General features: G+C 37.1%; 2 long non-coding RNA genes and 1 pseudogene across 3 annotated transcripts, besides 1 other annotated feature; 2 read left to right on the top strand and 1 right to left on the bottom strand.

The window, feature by feature from the left end:
- Window positions 1–208: 208 nt before the first annotated feature.
- Window positions 209–22518, bottom strand: LINC02446 (long intergenic non-protein coding RNA 2446). 2 transcript variants are annotated; one of them, NR_146456.1, is made up of 3 exons: window positions 22381–22518; window positions 3583–3659; window positions 209–1073 (listed from the first exon to the last, which is right to left on the bottom strand). It is a non-coding gene; the product is annotated as a long intergenic non-protein coding RNA 2446 (long non-coding RNA). The 2 variants fall into 2 exon arrangements; NR_146455.1 differs by lacking the exons at window positions 209–1073; window positions 3583–3659 and adding an exon at window positions 17103–18561.
- Window positions 3557–4162: an enhancer, noted in NCBI's record as "OCT4-NANOG hESC enhancer chr12:10724334-10724939 (GRCh37/hg19 assembly coordinates)". NCBI's record gives its function as "activates a minimal SCP1, AML or CMV promoter by ChIP-STARR-seq in naive H9 embryonic stem cells {active_cell/tissue: H9 hESC(naive)}" and the evidence as "EXISTENCE:reporter gene assay evidence [ECO:0000049][PMID:30033119]".
- LOC105376675 (uncharacterized) lies at window positions 3655–8907 on the top strand. Its single transcript, XR_931358.2, has 2 exons — window positions 3655–6263; window positions 7850–8907. It is a non-coding gene; the product is annotated as an uncharacterized LOC105376675 (long non-coding RNA).
- On the top strand, window positions 24362–24631 carry SLC25A39P2 (SLC25A39 pseudogene 2; annotated as a pseudogene).

Below are 24646 nucleotides of genomic sequence, written 5' to 3'. Positions count from 1 at the left end.
AATCTGGAGAAAGCTATCTTTCAGTGGTGGAAAGCATAAGCAGAGATGTGGTAACTCTAAGACTTCACTGGAAAAATCTCTCAGAGCAATTATTATGATAAAACCATCAGAGGAAATAAGGATCTGGGTGGTATGTGCTTAAGTGTCAAATATCCAAGATGTACTCGAAAGCTAAATAATAAGGAAATATTTAAAGTTTATTTTTATTCAAGAATTATTTATTAAACAACTACCATGTATAGGAAGCTGTGGTAAGTATTGGGAATTCAAAATGAGTATGATATAGTCACTGCCTATAAACTAGGCTAGTTGGCAAAGGGATCATTAACTAAAAGACACATATCCATGATATCAAGTAAATTATTGATAAGGAATGACTATTCCAATTATGGAGCAGTTCAGAATATACATAATATACGTTAATACAGGATGGCCATAATGTTGGGAAATATAGATAACATTTACTTTCACAGATTAACCCATTTGATTGCTTCTTCCAGAAAATGCTAATGGAGCAGGTTTATATTCTGAAAATTAGAGACAAAAATCATTGGAGGCAACGTATCACAGAAGCATGTGCAGGCACTGATAGAAATGTTGTATTAATGTCCCATGTTGGTCCCCATTATGCATAACACATTGCTAATGAGGAACAACACGTTGAACATATCATGTAATGTCACCATATCTCAGAGTGATAGGAATAAATCAATACTATAAAACTTCGTTATGTTTCCAGACTTGCTGATCATGTTACATATATAATATATATAATTTAAATATTTTGAATGTTTCCCTTTTTTTGAAAGAAAATTGTGCCATTTTCTTCCAAATATTTACACAATGTAAAACAGAAGAGCAATGACATTTATAGAAATGACAATTTTCAGTATTTATAATCTTTTCTCTGTCTAAAGAGATAATTTTTCTATTCCCCATTTTCCCATGGTTTGAATTTGTAATTTTCTATAGCAGAGTTCTCTTGTATATTTTCTTCTTTGACTCTGTCACATCGTAGGAGGTGCTGTCAGAATATTCTTGTCTCCAAAAGGAGCTTTTGGCTTGGATTTCCTCTGTCATACAAACATCAAGGAAAGACAAGATCTCAATATGGAAACCACATATAAAGTGATTACAGAGATTCTTATCTAATTCATTTACAGTTTTGACTGGATTATTTCTCATTTCACTCCCTTTTTCCTATTTTCCCTTTTTTCTTCTCTGTTTTTTCCATCCTTCCTTGTCTAGTTATCTGTGGCATTATTTTTTTCTCTCCATTTACCAGTTAAATATATTTATTTCATATGTACTTGTTTTTAGCTCTCTTCCCTAAGTGAAAAGTGTCACTGTAAACATCTATGAGAATTCTGACCAGAATAGAAACTGTCAGAATGCCACTGAAATGTCAGGATCTCCTATTGTGCTGCTGACAACATTTGCAGTTGTTCTGGACATTGGATATTTTCTTCCTGTTCAGCATTTATCACGGAAAGTGAGCGACTCTCAATTCTATTTCTGACCAAATTGTTTGTGGAGCTTTCAGGTAAAGGACAAAGGTGTCATCAGCTATTGTTTCTAAAGATTTTGTTGATACCTTTAATTCTATCTGATGGTGATTGATATTTGAAATTCAGAGAGAGTGAATTCAGAACATGAAAACATTAGGAAAGGGGAGTGAATTCCCTAGATTAGATTATTGCCAAGTTGAAGTGAGTTAAAAGCAGTTAATTGATGGCTCACACCTGTAATCCCAGGACTTTGGGAGGCCCAGGCAGCTGGATCACCCGGTCAGAAGTTCGAGACCAGCCTGGACAACACGTGGTGAACCCTATCTCTACTAAAAATACAAAAATTAGCCAGGCATGGTGGCATAAGCCTGTAATCCTAGCTACTCAGGAAGCTGAGGCAGGAGAATCGCTTGAACTTGGAAGGCAGAGGTTGCAGTGAGCCAAGATCATGCCACTGCACTCCAGCCTGAGCAACAGAGCAAGACTCTGTCTCAAAAAAAAAAAAGCAGGTAATTGAGTGAAAGAATTTCTGTTCTGATAATGGAATAATTCTGGGTCTTCCAAGACTTCTTTCTTTTGGAACTGAATAAAGTGAATTACACAGATTAAGAAAGTAGAGAAGATGTAAGTTTATGTTTCCCTTTCTTTAGAAATAGTAATATTTTTTGTTGAACATTTTGTATGACCCATTTTAGTTAGCCTTTATTCTTAGCTTATAAACTATAGTAATCTAGACAGGGATTTTTTATTATCTGGAGTTATACAGACAAACTATTATATGACTTTTTTCTTTATAAGTTGAAAACTTTCAAAACATAAACTTTGTATTTTAGTTTAGAAACAAAGCCATTCAAGTAAATCAAATTGGTCTTTTTAGATGCCTTGATACAGAATTAATTGCTCCTTTTTTTAGACTCCTTTGTTTATAATTGTTTCCCTTAACAGAACATTTATTTGTTCCTTTACTCATTTGTCCAACAGTTGTTTATTCAACTCTTTCTATGTGTAAGGTATTATACTTAGAACTGAAATTATAAAGATAAATAAATTACAGATCTTTCCCTCAGGAAGCTCAAACTTCAGAGAACAGAAATACAGACAGATAATTGAAATGCAATGTCAAGACATAAGTCATTGGACCATAATTAAGGTGTTCAAAGAACTCACAGCATGTTATCAGGAAGTCTTCTCAAAGAACTCCATTCAATTGAGTTTAGAGGAAGAGTATGCATTTTGCCAGTTGGATAAAAGGGAGAATGACGTTTTATTCAGATTTCTTACAGTCCGAATGCATAACTTAAACCATGGATTATTAGCTCTGCTGGAAGGCAGGCTATTGGGCCCTTTGGGAGGAGTTATGGATGGGGATAACCAGCACAGTGTTTAGCTGGAGTAGGCAAAAAAAAAAAAAAAAAAAAAAAAAAGTTTCAATAATAGATGTAAGAATGAATACTGTATAACAATTTGAAAATATCCAAATATTTCTGCTCAGGGCCAAACTATTCTTCTTTTCTTCTTTGGTGTAGATTCCAGAAACTCACCCCTCTTTCCTTTTTCATTTAAAGTCGTTACTGCCTATGGTACTCTTTGGAATCACCATTAACCCTGACACACACCTCAGGTGAACTTTTTCTAACTCTACTGTTTTTATTTCCTCAAAGGCATTTGCTCAAGTTCCTTTTCTTAAAAGTATTTTTATATTTTTATTTTTATTTTTTTTTTACTGATAATTGCTGCAGGTAAACGAGCAGAGGATCAAAATACCACAAAAAATATAGTATATTGTTTTTCTTTATCCACTATGTACTATGGAATATAGCATATATATTATCCCCTTTCTGGGAATTGAAAGAGCCTTCTTGGATCCCTGACTTTCGTATTTATTTTGGAGTATGAATAATAGGCCCTCAAAAATTTGTTGATGTCTGGTTAAAGGTTAAATCTTGTGTAACCATTAGCCTCAAGTAGCAGAGACTGTTGGCCAATCCATGAATCATTCCAAATCTCCTGCCATTCTCAGAAGTTACTCGCTTTCCCAGCACCCTTGCAGCTACAGAGTGTCCATATGGCCCACCTCTGGCCATCAAACTAAAGACAAAGCTGGCTAGAGGACTTCTGGAGTGGCTTGCTTTGCCTCTATTCTCTTCTTGCCTGTGGGGAAAAGAAAGAGAGATCAGACTGTTACTGTGTCTATGTAGAAAGAAGTAGACATAAGAGACTCCATTTTGTTCTGTACTAAGAAAAATTCTTCTGCCTTGAGATGCTGTTAATCTGTAACCCTACCCCCAACTCTGTGCTCGCAGAAATATGTGCTGTGTCGACTCAAGGTTTAATGGATTTAGGGCTATGCAGGATGTGCTTTGTTAAACAGATGCTTGAAGGCAGCATGCTTGTTAAAAGTCATCACCACTCCCTAATCTCAAGTACCCAGGGACACAAAACACTGTGGAAGGCCGCAGGGACCTCTGCCTAGGAAAGCCAGGTATTGTCCAAAGTTTCTCCCCATGTGATAGTCTGAAATATGGCCTCGTGGGAAGGGAAAGACCTGACCATCCCCCAGCCCGACACCCATAAATGGTCTGTGCTGAGGAGGATTAGAAAAAGAGGAAGGCCTCTTTGCAGTTGAGATAGGAGGAAGGCATCTGTCTCCTGCTTGTCCCTGGGCAATGGAATGTCTCGGTGTAAAACCTGATTGTATATTCCATCTACTGAGATAGGAGAAAACTACCTTAAGGCTGGAGTTGAGACATGCTGGCAGCAATACTGCTCTTTAATGCACTGAGATGTTTATGTATGTGCACATCAAAGCACAGCACCTTTTTCTTAACCTTGTTTATGATACAGAGACATTTGTTCACAGGTTTTCCTGCTTACCCTCTCCCCACTATTACCCGATTGTCCTGCCACATCCCTCTCTCCGAGATGGTAGAGATAATGACCAATAAATACTGAGGGAACTCAGAGACCGGTGCCGGCGCTGGTCCTCCCTATGCTGAGCGCCAGTCCCCTGGGCCCACTTTTCTTTATCTATACTTTGTCTCTGTGTCTCTTCTTTTCTCAAGTCTCTTGTCCCACCCGACGAGAAATGCCCACAGGTGTGGAGGGGCAGGCCACCCCTTCATTGCCATGAATACTGATCTGGGGCTATGGCAGCTATGTGTGGCCACAAGGTTGTCCACATGTCCAAACGCAGAAGATTAGAAGGATTTAGACAGCGAATGGCATTGATGATGCTGTTGAGCTGCCGACAGCCCTCAGTCTCTTGACCTCTAGACTTTTTATTACACATGTCCAAATTTATAAGATCTACCTACCCGTGACTTATAGATTTCAATGGGCTCCTTATCACACACAAAAAAGAGCTCTCACACTGAATTAGAAGTCCATGCAGATGCAGATTATCTGACAAGTAGAAATGGACTTGTAGGATAACCAGAATGAATAAATCAGAATAATTCTGTATTTATTATTGCTGTAGCTATAAATTATGTTCTTACAATTTGGCATTACAGTATACAAATGGTTCCATACTACAAAACAAGGTGGTTTAAGATGAAACACAAACAAAACAAGACCAAACAAAACAAGAAACCCTTATGATTTGTGGTTTAAAAATTAACAGGGTCTTAAATCTCTCAGGAAGCCAAAACTGCAGCTTCTCAGCTTGCCCTTTTGCTGACAGCTCTGCTTTTATGTATTCTGACCTGTTATTTTAATTTTCTTCTGATCATAGTAGGAGGAGAGCCTCTTTGAAATGATAACATCTTACAGTTTTGTCTCTTTCCAATCAACTCTTTTTCCACCCATCACTGATGCAACAGCATCCTCAACCCTATGGAAGACCACAGATGGAACTCCAGTATACACTTCACTCAGGAAGGCCTGTAAAGAAATTCTTGTAAATGAAGAAAACCTACTCAATTATAATTTTTATTAGCAACTACTTCCAATATGTATGAGATGTATGAATTATAATGATTGTTTTCTTTGTTGACAAAGAGTCAAACTCTGTAAAATATTTGAAGATATTTATTTTGAGCAAAATTTGAGTGACTGATGGTCCACGACACAGCCCTCAGGAGAACCTGAGAACATGTGCCCAAGGTCGTTGGGCTACAACTTGGTTTTATACATTTCAGGGAGACATAAGACATCAATCAATACATGAAAGATGTACATTAGTTTGGTCCAGAAAGGTGGGACAACTGGAAGCAGGGGCTTGCAGGTCATAGGCTGATTCAGAGATTTTCTCATTGGCAATTGGTTGAAAGAGTTATTTTCTAAAGACCTGGAGTGAATAAAAAGAAATGCTTGGGTTATGATAAGAGGTTGTAGAGACCAACGTTTCATTATGCAGATGAAGTCTCCAGGTAGCAGGCCTCAGAGAGAATAGGCTGTAAATGTTTCTTAGGGGACTGAAAGGGTCTGTTCCATCAGTAATTCCAAAAGGTAGGAGGGTATAATTAGGCATGTCTGTCTCCTCCTTCCCATCATGGCCTCAACTAGTTTTTCAGGTTGACTTTGAAATGCTCTTGGCTGAGAGGCGGAGTCTATTCAGATGGTTGGGGGACTTAGAATTTTATTTTTGGTTTACATCTTGAATGATTATGGAGAAAGTTCTTCTTTCCCCATATTTTATCTCGTTATGTTTCTCTACTCTCCAGAAATGACTGAGGAGAATATTTACACAGAGGTGAAATCTCATGACAAAAGAAAAAATACGATCCAGAACTACTGGCAGTCAATATACTTATGGTAAACACCTATTCTCACATAATCTTAAATTTTGAGTAGGATCTTATATCCAACAATTCAATGAGTTTGTGAATTTCTTTTTACAACTTCCCTGCCAAGTGCTTGACTTTCTGGTTGAATACCTCCAAGGAAATGTAACTCATTTCTTCCCAAGGTAGCAGTCATGGACTTTACCTACTCCTAGACTATTTTTCTTTATTGTAAATCAAAATATTTCTTTCTGCATTTGATATACACAAGTTTACAAGCCTTTTATTTATAAACTTGTATATAAATAATAAAAGACTTATTTATAAGCCTTTTAATAGCAAAGAAGACGTAATCTCTTTGAAATAACATCCCTAATGACTTCTGAGGCTGAGCCCAAGAGCTCAGAGCAATACTTCGTCATCTCTTCCTGGATCTGTGAATTAATTACAGTGCAGAAAATGCAGGAGAGATTGTTTTGTTTTATTTCTAATAGAGTCAATGTATGTTTGCAATGTAAGACTCTCTTGTTATTTAAGGAAATAACATGAATGTCAGGCAATTGTGTATAATGCATTACACGGTAATGTTTAGGCCCTTCTCACCATTCTTCTAATTCTCTTTTAGTTCTTTTTTGACTATCCTTCTCAGTAATCCAAGTGAATATTTAATGCTGAGCCTTGCTTCCTCCATCAACAGATAGCCATGCCAGCGGAAGAACTGAAGGAAACTATCTTGTCTTTTATGGCTTGGAAAGGCTTTCAGGACATGCCTGGCATATAAAAGTCTGATTTATAATTATCCTTGCTCTTGTAGTTATAGCAGTTGTAAAAAAAAAATCAAAGAAAATAAAAACACATGCTATAATTTGTTGTGAGTGACCTTAGGAAGGTGGGTTTAGGACAAATGTGAGTCCTATCAATCCACTCTAGTGATTTATTAAATGTTAAAATTCTGAACATTAACCTTTTATTCTCAATGTAGAAAGTCATTATTTGTATGTGTAAATGTGTGTGTGTTTGCATGCACACAGACACACCCATTAAGCAACTTGAGGCAGAGACTGCAGCACGTGCATAGCATGTTTTGATGCCGGGCGCGGTGGCTCACGCCTGTAATCCCAACACTTTGGGAGGCCGAGGCGGGCGGATCACGAGGTCAGGAGCTCGAGACCACGGTGAAACCCCGTCTCTACTAAAAAAAGGACAAAAAATTAGCCAGGCGCAGTGGCGGGCGCCTGTAGTCCCAGCTACTGTACTCAGAAGGCTGAGGCAGGAGAATGGCGTGAACCTGGGAGGCGGAGCTTGCAGTGAGCCTTGATCGTGCCACTGCAGTCCAGCCTGGGCGACAGAGCGAGACTCCGTTTAAAAAAAAAAAAAAAGATTTTCTTACATTCATCTTTTTTGCTGGCTTTTATTGGGCACTGTTCCACATTATGCTGTTGCCATCCTCAATAATTTTATGCTTCTGTAATTTTGTTTTGATCTAGATAATTAATATTTGTTTTGTTTCAAACACTGTTGCAATAATACTTTTGATTTATATGTTAATTTCTTTCATCTGATTTATCATGCCAATATGTTCTTGCTGCAATATAATCATGAATCGTTTACTTGCAGGACACCCGTGTTCCAAGTGCTGTGCGAGCTGCCAGTGATACTAAGAAGACACTGTGTTTTGTTGTGGTTTACTGCAATGCTTTCTTGCACTAGATTTAAAAATCCTCAAGAATGACACTTATTTCCAAATACCTATGTTGGTGCATTTGAAATCTAAAAGAAAGCCAATGTAGGAGGAGACTGGGAGTAGGGAGAGTCACAGAAGATGAAGAAGTAGAGGCCAGAGAATGAGTTAATTTTTGATGCTTATCTTACATTCGAAGGGAAGTCATTTTCAATGGAGGAGAGAAAGGGTAAAGATTGCATTTTAGGAGAATAGGCTGCCTGCAGTGTGGAGGATTTATTAGCTGAAGATGAGTGGATACAATCTAAAATTTCCTTGTTGTGAAAAGTCTTTGCAGTTTATGAGTCTCATAGTATAGGAAAAGTAAGGAGTGTTTAAATAAATTTAAATCAAACACAAATAAATCTGTGACTGTAAAATCGTTCCATCACCTGTGACTCTCACTTCAAATTTTTACAAAAAGGACAAATAGCAGTGACAGTACTTTTGCCCACTCCTACCTTATAAACCCTAGTGCCACTACTGTTGGACACTACTGTTTCAGCAAATAAGGAAACATATAAGACAAAGAACACAGGAGTCAGGAGGAAGCAGCTTATTTTGATCAAGTTGTGACAAGTTGAGCATTAATAATAATAAATTAATTGAAATACACTAATATTTTATAAGGCAATGAGTTTCTAATGATACTTAAAAGACAAAAGTTCTCTAGATTACAACTATTGGTAGTTATTAATATTGTTTTGTTTCAAACACTGTTGCAATTACACTTTTAATTTATATGCTAATTTCTTTCATCTGATTTATCACGCCAATATGTTTGTGTCGCAATATAATCATGAATTGTTTACTTGTAGGTCACCCGTCCAAGGGCTGTGCTAGCTGCCAGTGATACTAAGATGCTGTGTTTTACTATTGGTAGCTGTAATCTAAGAGGAGGAATATAATAGATTAGATTTAAAAAATGTATTTCAATAAACTGATAAAAATTTTAGTAAGTTGTATTTTAATATATCTAAATCATTCTATTTCCTCTTTTTAAATATATGTGTGTTTATACAGCAGTATTTTTTAAAACTGTATAAGTAAAGGATAAAAATATTGGGAATTGTGAGTCAAACAGTTTAGAAAAAGCAGAACTAGACACAGGATGCTCATGTACAGTAAGAAAGGAGAGAGAAAGGGGAGTTGAATATTGTGTTATAAAATGATGACTTAGCCAAATGTCTTAAAAAGGGAGCTTACTTTATTGAGAGTTTTTAGCATGAAGAGGTGTTGAATTTTATCAAAGGCCTTTTCTGCATCTAGGTATTGATGGAACGTATCTCAAAATAATAAGAGCTATTTATGACAAACCCACAGCCAATATCATACTGAATGGGCAAAAGCTGGAAGCATTCCCTTTGAAAACTGGCACAAGACAAGGATGCCCTCTCTCACCACTCCTATTCAACATAATATTGGAAGTTCTGGCCAGAGCAATCAGGCAAGAGAAAGAAAGAAAGGGTATTCAAATAGGAAGACAGGAAGTCAAATTGTCTCTCTTTGCAGATGACATGATTGTATATTTAGAAAACCCCATCATCTCAGCCCAAAATCTCCTTAAGCTGATAAGCAACTTCAGCAAAGTCTCAGGATACAAAATCAATGTGCAAAAATCACAAGCATTCCTATACACCAATAATAGGCAAACAGCCAAATCCTGAGTGAACTCCCATTCACAGTTGCTACAAAGAAAATTAAATACCTAGGAATACAACTTACAAGGGATTTGAAGGACCTCTTCAAGGAGAACTACAAACCACTGCTCAAGGAAATAAGAGAGGACACAAACAAATGGAAAAACATTCCATGCTCATGGATAGGAAGAATCAATATCGTGAAAATGGCCATACTGCCCAAAGTAATTTATAGATTCAATGCTATCCCCATCAGTCTACCACTGATTTTCTTTACAGAATTAGAAAAAAAAAAAAAAAACACTTTGAATTTCATATGGAACCGAAAAAGAGCCTATATAGCCAATACAATCCTAAGCAAAAAGAAAAAAGCTACAGGCATCACGCTACCTCACTTCAAACTATACTACAAGGCTGCAGTAACCAAAACAGCACAGTACTGGTACCAAAACAGATATATAGACCAATGAAACAGAACAGAGGCCTCATAAGCAGTGCTACACATCTGCAACCATCTGATCTTTGACAAACCTGACAAAAACAAGCAATGGAGAAAGGATTCCCTATTTAACAAATGCTGTTGGGAAAACTGTCCAGCCAAATGCAGAAGACTGAAACTGGACACCTTCCTTATACCTTATAGAAAAGTTAACTCAAGATCGATTAAAGACTTAAGCATAAGACCTAAAACCATAAAAACCCTAGAAGAAAACTTAGGCAATACCATTCAGGACATAGGCATGGGCAAGGACTTCATGACTAAAACACCAAAAACTGGCAATAAAAGCCAAAATTGACAAATGGGATCTAACCAAACAAAAGAGCTTCTGCACAGAAAAAAAAAACAAAAAACTATTATCAGAGTGAACAGGCAACCTACAAAATGGGAGAAAATTTTTGCAATCTATCCATCTGACAAAGGGCTATATCCAGAATCTACGAGGAACTTAAATTTACAAGAAAAAAAAAACAACCCCATCAAAAAGTGGGTGAAGGATATGAACAGATACTCCCCCAAAGAACACATTTATGCTGCCAACAGACATAGGAGAAAAAGCTCATCATCACTGGTCATTAGAAAAATGCAAATCAAAACCACAATGAGATACCATCTCATGCCACTTAGAATGGCAATCATTAAACAGTCAGGAAATAACAGATGCTGGAGAGACTGTGGAGAAATAGAAACGCTTTTACACTGTTGGTGGGAGTGTAAATTAGTTCAACCATTGTGGAAGACAGTGTGGCGATTCCTCAAGGATCTAGAACCAGAAATACCATTGGACTTAGCAATCCCATTACTGGGTATATACCCAAAGGATTATAAATCATTCTACTATAAAGACACATGTACATGTATGTTTATGGCAGCACTGTTCACAATAGCAAAAACTTGGAACCAACCCAAATGTCCATCAATAATAGACTGGATAAAGAAAATGTGGCACATATACACCATAAAATACTAAGCAGCCATAAAAAAGGATGAGTTCCCGTCCTTTGCAGGGACATGGATGAAGCTGGAAACCATCATTCTCAGCAAAGCAACACAGGAACAGAAAGTCAACCACCACATGTTCTCACTCATAAGTGGGAGTTGAACAATGAGAATACATGGACACAGGGAGGCAAACATCACACACCAGGGCCTGTCAGAGGGTGGGGGGCTAGGGGAGGGATAGCATTAGGAGAAATACCTAATGTAGATGACGGGTCGATGGGTGCAGCAAACCACCATGGCACGTGTATACCTATGTAACAAACCTGCACGTTCTGCACATGTATCCCAGAACTTAAAGTATAATTCAAAAATAATAATAATAATGAAAAGGAAGCTTACTACAAAACTTTCATTTCTCTTTTCCTAGGATATAGAATTTCTAAGTGGCCCTTAAATAATACAATAAAGCATACATAATTTGTAATAATCCTAACATAAAATATCAGTATATAATAGAGATAGGATAATACATAATGAAATGTTGGTTGAGACTTGAAACGTATCATTTATGATGGAGATATTAGGTTATAAAAATCCAAAAACATGTGAAAGATGAGAATTTGAAATGTCTTATTTTTATAACAAAAGAAGTTTAACTCTAAAATAGGAGATGACTTCATGGCCTGCAGCTGGAGTTAATTATCGTGGCAAAAACAAACGGGTCCCAAACTGACTAAAAATCAGTTGCTTGACCAGCCATTTACTGAAATATTTTGCTTATTGGTCTAGGGAGATCACTACAAGCCCAGAAAGATGTAAAAGGATGCATTAATACAACTAATGGAAGTTATCAAGTGGAATTATAGCCTTAGAGAAGAATAAAAATTATAGGAATAACAAAAGAAATGAAGTTTAAAAACTATTGTTATATTTTAGGATAGGTTTAAGAGTAAGCAATAGGTTTTGTAATAATTTTCTTTGGGTATATTTGCTACTTAAGGTGTTTGAGGTGCTCAAAAGACTTAGCTTAACTAAATCTGTAATTGTAGTTTAAATTTGTATAGGACTTAAGTAATTTTGTATAGGACTTGAGTAATTATGTTGAAATCACTATTCAAATGTTTGAATAGCTTTCTTTCTTTTTTTTATTTTTTTAAGACAGGGTTTCTTGCTCTGTCACCCAGGCTGGAGTGCAATGGGCGATCTTGGTTCACTGCAGCCTCCACCTCCCGACTTCAAGTGATTCTCCTGCCTCAGTCTCCTGAGTAGCTGGGATTACAGGCATGGGCCACCATGCCTGGCTAATTTCTGTATTTTTAGTAGAGATGGGGTTTCACCATGTTGGCTAGGCTGATCTTTGAACTCCTGTCCTCAAGTGATCCGTCCACCTCAGCCTCCCAAAATGCTGGGATTACAGGCATGAGCCACCAGGCCAGGCTCAAATTCTTTTTATTAGTTAATTAGTTAACTATTTGTGTGTAACAAATTACTAAATTATCCCACAACTTATGCTTTTTTTGGGTCAGGAATCCAGCCATGGGTGACTCTGACTTAGAGTTTCTCACAAGGATGCCTTTGGGGTGTGGGTGAGGGCTACAGTCATCTGAAGGCTCAGTTGGGGCAGACTCATATGCAGCCTCATGCACATGCTGTTGGCTGGTGTGAGGTCCTCACTCACTGTTAACAGGAGAAATGTCAATGCCTTGCCTCATAGACCTCTCCATAGAGCTACTCACTTCATGGCAGTTTGTTATTCTGTTTTCTGCTGGGGACGTGTATGTGGGAGAGGGGAGTGGGAGAGAAAGAGGGAGAGAAAGAGAAACAGAGATGCCAACTTGAGCACACACTCTGGGAAGAAGATTATACAATGGCATGAATACCAAGAAGTGGAATGATGACTGGAGTTATTTTAGAGAAAGTCAACCACAATTACATATCATACATTTGATAAAAATGATTCAAATGACAAATATTAGTAAATATTAGTCACCACTTGTGAAAGCCTTTGGTAAAATTTATAGTGGTAAATTTGCATTATGTATCCCCATTAAACTACACATTCCTGGAAATCATGCATGGAGACTTCATCTTTTTCATCAGCAGGGAATAGTACTACCATGTGGTAGGTACTCCAAAAACTCAGGTTGAAGAGATGAATGAATGAGCATTGTTTGAGTTTGTAATCTTCATTTTACATGGCTCCTGATAATTTTTAGAAATCCAAACAGCAAGAATGCTTTCTGACAACGTATAAGACTTGTGCTATTTGCCATCACCTTATAAATTTAATTTTGCTCATTACAGTTTTCAAAAGGTTTTTCACTTCTGATTCTGTAATTTTGTACTAGGCCACCAGATGGCATCACCACATAAACCAAGCTCTAAAATCAAGGCTTATTTGAAAATTAGTCTTGCTGGTCAGAATGAAGTAATAACTATATTCTCATAAACTGCTGTAGCAAATGTTAGTAGATAACTACTGCACACAAATTTAGCAAAATATATTGATAACCTTAAAAAATGGTAGTACTTTTTGAGCCAATGAGTCTACTAGAAATCTATCTTCAGAAAATAATGTGGACAAAATGGTACACACTCAAGATTTTACCTTAGCATTATTGGAATTGTCAAATACCAGGTAAAATCTTGGGTCCAACAATAATGAAAGGGTTAGTATATATGATACAATCATACAATTAAAAAACATACACACTTTCAAATGACTTATGAAGTATTCAATGACATGAGAAATGCTTCTGGCATAATGCTAATTTATGAATTGGGTTGTAAACTAATGTGTGATTCCCAGTATGTTGCATAGAAATTATAGAAAGGAAACATATTAATGTAATTTTATAAGGAAGTGTTTTTCTCTCTTCATATTTCTCCTTGTTACTCCAATTTTTAACAATGACTCCTTGGAACATCATATGTTAATAAGAAAAAATCAAGTTAACAATAACATAACATTAGTTTTTTAGGGCTGGGCATGGTGGCTCACTCCTGTAATCCCAGCCCTTTGGGAGGCTGAGGCAGGTGGATCACCTGATATCAGGAGTTTGAGACTAGCCTGGCCAACATGATGAAACCCCATCTCTACCAAAAAATACTAAAGTTAGCTGTGTGTGGTGGCTCACACCTGTAGTCCCAGCTTACTCAGGAGGCTGAGGCAGCAGAATCCCTTCAATTTGGGAGGCTGAGATTGCAGTGAGCTAAGAAGGCACCATTGCACTCCAGCCTGGGCCACAGAGCAAGACTCTGTGTCAAATAAATTAAAAGCTTTTTAGTACTTATAATTTAAAATTGTTTGTCTTCTACTATGTTAAACCATAAAAATATGCATTCATTCAGCCAGGCATGGTGGTTCATGCCTATAATCTCAGCACTTTGAGAGGCCAATGTGGGAAGATTGTTTGAGGCTAGGAGTTTGAGTCCAGCCTGGGCAACAAAGCAAGACCCTGTCTCTACAAAAAGGGAAAAATTTTAAAAATTAGCTGGGCATGGTGGCACATGCCCATAGTTCTTGCTACTCAGGGAGCCGAGATGGGAGGATTGCCTGAGCCCGAGAGACAATTCAAAGTAGAGGCTGCAGTGATCTATGATCAGGCCACTACACTGCGCCCTGGGCAACAGAGTGAAACCCTGTCCCAAACAAAAAACAAAAATCAAAGAAAAAGCATTCATTCAGCAATTATTTATTAGTGGTTTTTATAAATTGCACTGTATGTTGATGGTTCAAAAGTGAGTAACACAATTTCTGCCTTCCCTGAATGTATGATCAACTTGGATTGAAAGCTATATAAACAGATATTTTGTAAAATAACAAGTACAATGCTAAAGACTAATGATGGTACAATAAACTTTCTTCATCCCATTTAATAGTTGCAACTCTTCCAATTTGAATTATTCTACAATATTTGGTTTATGTGACATACTGAACTTTGTACATATTTTTCATTGTATAATGATTTCCAACAGCAAATATGGCACATGAGTAAAAAATATTTGCATTGGTTACGGGTATTTCTCTGTTGGAAAAGATATTCTCTACCTGTGAGAAAAGGATTATTGGTGCTGTTATTAAGGTAGATTATGGTAGGAAATACTGTTAATAAAATATCTTGGTGGTTTGATTTTTCCAACATTTGAACTGTGAGGCTGAGATGATTTTTAATAATATGGGTTTCCACAAGATTCCCCCTCTTCTCTAGAACTCAGCATTTTAACACAGCAGAATTCATATGTGAAGAGGGAGAACATGTATAGGCAACTCTTTTTGGAGAGGAGGAGTTATCTTTGGAAAGCAGCCTTTTAAAGATGGTTTTCCTCAACACCATCTGTACTAAAATACAAAAATTAGCCACGCGTGGTGGCGTATGCCTTTAGGCCCAGCTACGCGGGAGGCTGAGGCAGGAGAATCACTTGAACCAGGGAGGTGGAGATTGCAGTGAGCCGAGATGGCACCACTGACTCCAGCCTGGGCGACAGAGTGAGACTTCATCTCAAAAAAAAAGAAAAAAAAAAAAAACCAACATTTGTGTGTCATATCCCTTGAATGTAAAAAACAAAGTGATTTGTATGGAAAAGGCTTTTTAAAAAAAAATTTGACAAACATTTTCTATAATTAATTACAGAAAAGTAGGGTGAGAATGATCACATAATTTATCCTCTCCTTCCTACCTATGTAAGTATAAGCGAGGATTAAAGTAGACTACATAAAATATAGATGTACATTTGTCAATTGAATGTCCTTTCGTGAGTCATCTAATGCCCCTAATTTTTCATCTCTAAAACACGGATATCATTTTGGAGAATTAGATGATATATGTCAAACAGCAACAATAACAACAACAAAAAAATCCTAACCCCCCAAAAACTGTATTTGACACATGTCTTTTCTATATATTGGTTTGATTCAGCTAGTAAACTATGGAATGTGAGTGACAGCACAAAGAATTAGCCAATGCTTATTTTTGAAGAGAGTCAATAATAATAAAAGGAATTATTAATTTTCTCACTTTCAATAAATCCAACAAAATACTTTTCAAAAACATGGAATCTAAGGTAAAGTATGACTATTAGAAATCGTAAAAAAAAAAATGAAGGAAAACTCCCAAAAAGACAAAAAAAAAAAAAAAAAAAAAAAAAAAACTACCAATCTGGGTCCAAACATTCTATTTTCAATCATCAGACTCTTTAGTACAATATCACATTATCATGTGAATGTTTCTTACGGTAAACCTATGGGGAGAATCCATACTCAAGCAGCCAAATTTAAAGCAAGCCAAGGATTTAAAGGTACATCTTAAATCCCTGTTATTTTAAGAATTAGCTTTTTGCCTTGTTCCTAGACCTTGGATGAAAGCGGGAGAAGAGAGGAGGTCTTGTCAGGGTCCCCCTGGGCCTCCTGGTACACAGTGAGCCCCTGTGCTTGAGGCTTCCTGTGTGGTTTTAGCTCACAGAGCCCAGCTAGCTCCAGCTGCAGCTCTTCCTCTGGTGGGCTACATGTTGTTAACCTCTCAGGAAGTATCTGGGTCTATTTTATGCTGTATTTTCATAGTGTCTTTGATAATGGATTTTCAGTTCTTATGAGGTTGGAGGATTGAGTTGGCATAGTGATCTAGAACTCACTTATGTGTCATTTAGTTATATATTTTATATACTATTTATTATTTACTATAATTATTTCCATTATTATTTACTATTAGATATTATTTATATATTATTTACTGTTGGTTTGAACATGCTTTGACAAGATGATATGACATTGACTGAGTTTTAACCAATGGATGACCAGTGAAAGTTGGCCGAAAAGGTGAGGTACTAGGAAGAACCTAGATGGGCATGAAAAATGCCAGTGTAAATCCACCAGGTGGAGGAGTAATTGGAATGAATCACTGAGAATGTGTTTAGAGCTATGTGTCTAGGCTATAAATTGACCCCATATAGGCATTGCGCCTGCTCTTGGTGTTATTACCATCGGGCAACAGGCAATGCTCTGTTAGGCTTGACCTGGAGATTATCATTTTCAGGTATCAAAAATTGGGAAGAGGAAAGAAACATAATGCATAATTCGGTCTAGTTTTTATTCTATAAATATATAAGGAAATCCTGCTATTTGTGACAACATGGATAAACTTAGAGGACACTATTCTAAGTGAAATAAGCCAGACGCCAAAACACAAATATTGCGTGATCTCACTTGTATGTGGAATCTAAAAAAGTTGAAGACACAGTAACAAAGGGTAGAGTGGTAGTTACCAGGGGTTGGGGGCTGGGGGAGAAGTTAGTCAAACTTTTAGTTAGAAGATGAGTAAGTTCTGGAGACCTAACGTACAGCATGGTGACTATAGTTAATAATAAGGTACTGTATACTTGACATTTGCTAAGAGCAGGTCTTAAGGGTTTTTAACCCCACACACACAAAATGGTGGCTAGGTGAGGTCATGGTTATGTTAACTTCATTGTGGTAATTGTTTCACAATGTATATGTATATCAAAACATCATGTACATTTTAAATATATACAATTTTTGTGAATCATGTCTCAAGCTGGAAAAAACCAGTGAGATGCTATATAAATGATTAAACATATTCCCATTTTGCATTTAGGTTAAGAAAGAATTTTATATTCAGGTATATCCTTACTTTTGAACTACAGCCAACCTCTGATCATTTAACTTTTTAGTTTCCCATTTTTATTTATCCCACCCAGGGTATTAATGGTAGGGATTCTTCACAGCTGTGACTCATTTGCTTCCAGCGCCAGCACCAGGGAATTTCAAACTTTATTTGGCATAAGAATCACCTGGAGAGCTTGTTAAGCTGCTGATTATTGGGTCCCATTTCAGAGTTTCTGATTCAGTGATTCTGGCGGAGAGCCCAAGAATTTGCATTTTTAACAGTTCCCAGGTGATGTTTCAGTTGCTGGTCCTGGAACCACACCTGGGGAACTTTTGCTCTAGTTTATTTTCAGTTATTTCTCACTGAAAGTACTAATGATGTAGACCAATACTCTTTGGTCAATCTGAAAATTCCTCCCTTGGACTTGCTTTCTCTGGCAGAAAAATACTCTGTTATTTCTTCAGACAAAGCCCCAATTGGCCTTTTCTTTCCAGAGCCTTATTTTCTGATTAAATGTTTTTTTCCCCTAATAGAATCTGTTTTCTTCCCTCATTAAGGTTCACCTCTTCTTGCTGTCTGTAGTGACAGACGGTCCCTGCTTTCCTGCCTCTTACGAGAATCCCACTTGTGAATGAAGAGTTCAGTTCAGCTTTATCTTGACCAGGTGCGAGACTGCCCCTTTGTGATTCTCAATCCCACACAGGGTGTCCAAGTTTCCTATCTTCTCCTCGGGGGAGCTTAAAAGTGTCCAGAACTGTTGAAGTGGCAAGTTGTCCACAGGTGACAGATAGTAGAAAATGCATGACCTTATTTCTGTCCCATCGTGTTCAAAGGTTCTCTTGTTAGTTAGCACCCACTACCACTTCATTTTGCACTCCGCTTTTCTGCCTTCCCCTTCCCAATGCCTGGGGGAAAGAAAACATCGGGTTCAACAAGTGAACTTTTACTTCAGACTCTTCATAGTATTTTCTTTGCAAATTATCGAAAAAGAGTGCCTGGCTAGGGCATGAAAGAGAGGGAGGGAAAAACCCTGAGAATAAGAAAACCACTGGGCTGTTATCCCTCTAACTCTGTCTCTCTAGATTTGGATATTAATTCATACATACATTTGTTCATTCATACCTTCATTCTTTCCACAAATATTTATTGAGCCCTGCATGCCTTTTGCTAACACTAACCACCACTTTTTAAGAGATCGATTTCCCTCTACATATACTATTTTCTAATTAAGTTCAAATGGTATACATTATATATTAAACATATATATGCATATTAAACATATATTTAAATGTGCACTAGTACAATTTATATGTAAGGAGTGTGTTTAGCGTGTATGTGTTTTAGATTTTACTTGTAATCTCCAATCAAAGATGATGTAGAATTGATCTATGATACAAATATACAGGTGTTTTTGTTTGTTTTTATCTCAGAATCACCAAGAGTTAAAATATCTTTTTTTTTTTTTTGCTTTAAGGTGCTATATTTTATTGAACACATTTCTGGAGTTTCTCTACAATGTTCTCCAGTTATTGTGTGCTCTTCTTTATGTGTCTACCTGATAATACATATGACACATGAAATTTTACAAATGTGTTTGTCCAATATTCTCAAAGGCATGACAACATGCAGATTAAATATCTGGAAGCCAAAATGAAATATTTTTAGAAATTGTTACATAAAAGCACAAAGAAGACAAATTACACCATTTGTAATTACTTAAAAATTCTTTTAAAGAGTACTTAAAATACTTTTAAATACCCTTCCAGTCATTTTTAAATTTAAAAAAGTTTGTTTAATTAAACAAACAATTGCTTCTTAAAATACATTATAGATTCTATACGAAAAATTGCAGGTAATTATACAGGAAAAAGTTTTTTTTTAATCCAAAATGTTATATGTAACCAAGAAATAGTCATTGTGATTATACAATCTATTAATGTATTATAGTTGGATATATATACAGATGAATAAGTAGAATATTAGGACAGAAAAGCATTTAGTAAAATAGGATTATACTATACATATTGTGCTTTAATTGTAAAAAAACTATTAAATTTTACATTAGCAGGATCTAGTAGAAAATAAGGCAGAAAATTAAACTAAATGAATTAATATTTAGAATTAATGTTTCTTTAACATAAGACACTATTTCCTAAGTTTTCCCTTTTAAGATTAAGAGAAATACTATTTTTATAAAGATTTTGAAGTCACTAGACTTTTATTCTTTTAAAAATATGTTTTACTTGTAGTAAAGATTGTTTCTCTGGTATGAAAATGTGAAGACTTCGATATTTTCATGTCTCTTTCCTCAATGTCCAAATTTATTAATTTTATCATTATTTTTATTGTCTTTATGTGGATATTCATATAAAATTAGTCATTTTCAGATTAATAGTATCAATTGTATTTAAATCAATTTAAGATCATCACTATTAATTTTCTATGCCTGATTTTATTTTGATTCAATTTTTAAGTTAAAAGGTGTCATGGATTCTTCTTATTTTATAAGCATATGAAATAAAATTATATAAAGTATAGCCTACAATTCACTTAGTAGAGTGCCCTCATTGAAAATCATCCAGAAATATATTTTTACAAAGGACTTTATTCCAGCAAAGCAATATTATAATGCTAACTCAAAAATAATGTATTAACAGAAACTGAACCAGTTGAGTTAAAAAAAAAAACATCTTGTACGGACTTGTGCTTAGAAAACAAAAAGCCACAGAGATAATCGCTCTCACCTGACAACAAGAAAAATTCAGATAATGTATAAAAGTATAACTTTATCTGAGGACATCAGAGTGCTGAGGTCACAAGGCAACCACTTAAATTGAACTCCAAGCGGGACATGCACCGCTAAGGAGAGATGGGACTCATAGACGGTTTCATTTTTGGCAGAGCATAAGAGGAAAAGATGGCAGCCATAAAAGTAAAATAAAAACACTAAATTTTGAACAAAGTCTTAAGCTCAGTTGGGCTTTCATGTGTCACTGAGAGTCCTAGCTGCAAGGGGAGTCTCCAGGTCTTTTCCACAGGCCTCAAGTGGGAGCTCATTAGAAGGCCTGGGGCAGGGCAGAGCCAGAGAAAGCCCCTTAGCCATGGCGACGTCTAGGCATGAAACCTCAGCATTTCCCAGTGCCTTTTCTCACTTGAAGCAAAACCTTTAAGATACTTAGGGAGGGCCAACAAACCCTCCTGCTCCCAGGAATCAGGCAAAGTTTGAGTGCTTTTAGAGAAGCAGTATAAGCAAAAGTTCTCTGCCCTTGGGGGAGGGGTAGGATAAACCTCTCTCTTTCTCCTGGTCTTACAGAACGTAACGTGATGCAAAAAGAAAGCTAAAAGCAAAATTTCTTTGTAGCAGAGAAAAGAGAAGGAAACCACCATACCTCCCACCACAAGCCTTGCACCAAGCAACACACAACAACAGTCTACTGCTTGAAGAGGGGCAGAAAACTCCCCCATTACTGATCCTAGTCAAAAACATTCTGCTGTTGAAGGAAGGGGAGAAGAAAAAAGATGTTCAAACAGAGAGGAGCAGGAAACCCTCTGGGGTCAAGGATCCCACAGTGACACAAGGCAGAGATCTGCTATGCCAGCAGAGGAGAAATTCTTTCCTGCCCAAGACTCCCCATAGATACAAGAAGAGCTTGGTTGCTGAGGAGGACGATGAGGAATGCTGAGGAAACCACACTCCTGAGGCCAAGGTACATAGGGCCTTGCCCAAGACTGAGAATAGGCCAAGATAAACTAGAATTTCTATTTCTCCCAACACTGTCGTTATTTTCACGTAACAAGCCACAAGAGAGGAGGGGCAACAGTTTAGAGAGAGAACCTCTTCACACTGCAGGTGTGCAGGGCGTGCTGAAATCAGAACAGAACACTAAGAAAAACCTCCCGCTCCCCAGACCCTGCACGAAGTGTAAGGTAGTGGCAGTACATCACTGGGAGCATTTGAAGTCTGTGGTGTACTAAAGGTGACCACAGGAACAATGAAACATAAACTAGCTCAACACTTCAACTTTACAGATTTACAGAAGAGGTATCGCCATGCTGGCCTGACATACAGTGTTTGCCATTCAATAGAATTATAAGCGACAAACACACAAAAAGTGAGAAAAGGACCCATTGCCAAAAAAAAATACTAGCTGATAAAACTCAAGATATGTGTGTTCAAGATGTTGAAATTATTGGTGAGAAACTTAAAATAATTTTTTAATATGTCAAAGAAACAGTGGAAATTTTAAAAACATGCATTGATATATGATGAAATTTTTCAGAGATGAAAACTATATTTTTAAAAAGAGTCAAGTGGAAATGCCAAGGATAAAACTATGATATCAGAAATAAAGAATTCCTTCCATGCACTTCTTAGAAAACTGAACACAGGATAGGGAAAGAAAAATCAAGTGAACTTGAAGATAGATGAACAGAAATTATCCCAACTAAACTACCAAAAATAAGAAAAGAGTAAAAAAATAACATAACAGGTCATCCAAGAGTTTAGAGACAATACGAATTATAATTTCACATCTGAAACTTTGCAGATCAGATGATAAAGTGGCATTTTTGTTATACTGAAAGAAAATTCTGTCAATCACTACAACAGAGATAAAGAATATTACATAATGTTGATGAGATCAAAAGCAATAAGCTGACATACAACTCTAAATGTATATATACCTAATAACAGATCTGAAGATACATAGAACCAAAACTGTTACCTGTTACTGGTGGAGGGTGTCCAGATTCTTGGCATTTTGAACAAACAATTGGATGAAATGCACAAACAAAACAATGAAAAAAAAAGCACAGATTTATGGAAACAAATGTACACTCCACAGAGTGAGAGTGGGCCAAGCAAGCAGCTCAAGAGGCTGGTTATAGAATTTTCTGGAGTTTAAATACCGTCTAGAGGTTTCCAATTGGTTACTTGGTTTACACCTTATGTAAATGAAGTAGTGGCCTGTGATCAGTCTAATTGGTTGCAGAAGGTGACCAATAGGAGGCTGAAGTAAAGTTACAAGGTTACACATGAAGACTTGGCCTGTGATCAGTCTGATTGGTTTCAGGAGGGAACCAATGAAAGATACTTTCATTTTTCGTCTTCAATGCAGAAAAGGGGTGGGGGATGTTGCAAAGGGAGTAGCCCCTGATCTTTTTGTTACTTGGGTATAGAGAGGTGGGGTTTTCCTTTTGATTCAGTTCTAGGAAGTCAGCGTGAATCAATCTTAGGTTCCCTGTCTCCTGACCATGTTCTCCTGCATCAAAACTGCCAAGACTGAAAGAAGAAATAGGCAAATCCTCAGTTATAGTCAAACATGTCAACACACCTCTCTCAGTGGTTACTGGAATATTTAGAAAAAAATCAGTAAGGACATAAAAAGTCTGGAAGAGCACCATCAACCAAATTGAAATAACTGGCATATATAGAATACCCCACTCAACAATAGAAAAAAATACTCAACTGCACACAGAACTGTCACCAGGATACACCATATTTTGGGCCAAAAGAGCCCATATGTTTAAAATGAATTATACATAGCATGTTCTCTGACCACAAATAAATCTAAAAATTCAATAGCAGAAAGATATTTGGAACATTCCCAAATATGGTAAAATTTTAAAATGCACTTATAAATAACACATAGGTGAAAGAAGAATTGTAGTCGAAATTAGCAAATATTTTGAACTGAATGAAAATAAACGTGCAACATAGCAAAATTTCTGCTACTATTGGAGTACTGCTTGGAGGGAAGTTATAAAATGCTATTTAGAAAAGAGAGGTCTAAAATCAGTTATCCAAGATTCCAACTTTGGAATTTAAAAAATAAGGAAAATTAATTCCAAATCCAACAGAAGAAAGGAAATAATAAAGATAAGGGCAGAAATCCATGAAATAGAAAATAGAAAGGCAATAGAGAAAAATAAACCAAAAGCTGATTCTTTTAACATGTCAACAAAATGGATTATTCCCCAAAACTGTAAGAAGACACCAATTACCAATATCAGGAATAAAAGTAGGAAAAGTAATACAGATGCTACAGATATTTAAAGGATAAGTGAATATTAAGTATTTTTCTGCTCATTAATTCAATAACATGTAAAGTGTACAAATTTCTTGAAAGACACAATTCCACAGTCCACTTAAGAGGGAATAGTTAACCTAACTAGCTCTATATCTATTAAACTAATTCAATTTGCAGTTAAAAAACCTTTCCACAAAGAAAACCCACACTTTCGTGGTAAATTCTACCAAACATATAAGGACAATGTAACACCTATCCCACTTAAACCCTTCCAGAAATTAGATGAGGAAGGAGCATTTCCCAACTCATTTGATGAGACCAGAATTACTCTAATATAAAAATTAGGCATGTTGAGGAAAGAAAACTGCAGACGAATATCCTCCCTGAATAGAAATAATCTTTTTAAACAAAATATCAGCAAATCAAATTCAGCAATGCTCTCAGAGTGGGCTTTGTCAGGAGGCGAGCATGCGCAGACCCTGCAGTGAGCCCGAGCGCGCCGCCGCGCCAGCCAGGCCTAGAGGCAGGATTGAAGCCAGGAGGCGGTTGAGCAGGACCTGAGGGCGTTAGCCTCCTCCAACAAGTGGTGGCCTCGGGCAGCCGTCACCTCCATCTCCAGGACACCCCTGGACGTGGTGAAGGTCCGCCTGCGCTCTCAGCGCCCTGCTGGGACTGAAGCCTCACTCCAGACTCTGGACCTCTCCTAAGCCGAATCGCCCTCCTCCCTCCGAGCCACGGGGCAGGGCCTCCTGTGCCGCAGTGGTGTCCTGGAGCCCCTGCACCTGTCTCCAAATGGTATCCGCTGTGCCGCCAGGACGCGCTTCACTGGCAGCATGGGTGCCTTTGTGAAGATTGTGAGGCGCTAGGATAACTGGGTGATGAACCTGCCAGCCACCACCGTCTACTTCACTGGCTTACGACAAACTCCAGGCCGTCCTGTGTGACAGAGCCCTGACCTCTG

Source organism: Homo sapiens, chromosome 12 (assembly GCF_000001405.40).
Source record: "Homo sapiens chromosome 12, GRCh38.p14 Primary Assembly".
NCBI lineage: Eukaryota > Metazoa > Chordata > Mammalia > Primates > Hominidae > Homo > Homo sapiens.
The sequence above is the reverse complement of the archived record's forward strand: the minus strand, read 5'-3'. Positions and strand labels throughout refer to the sequence as shown.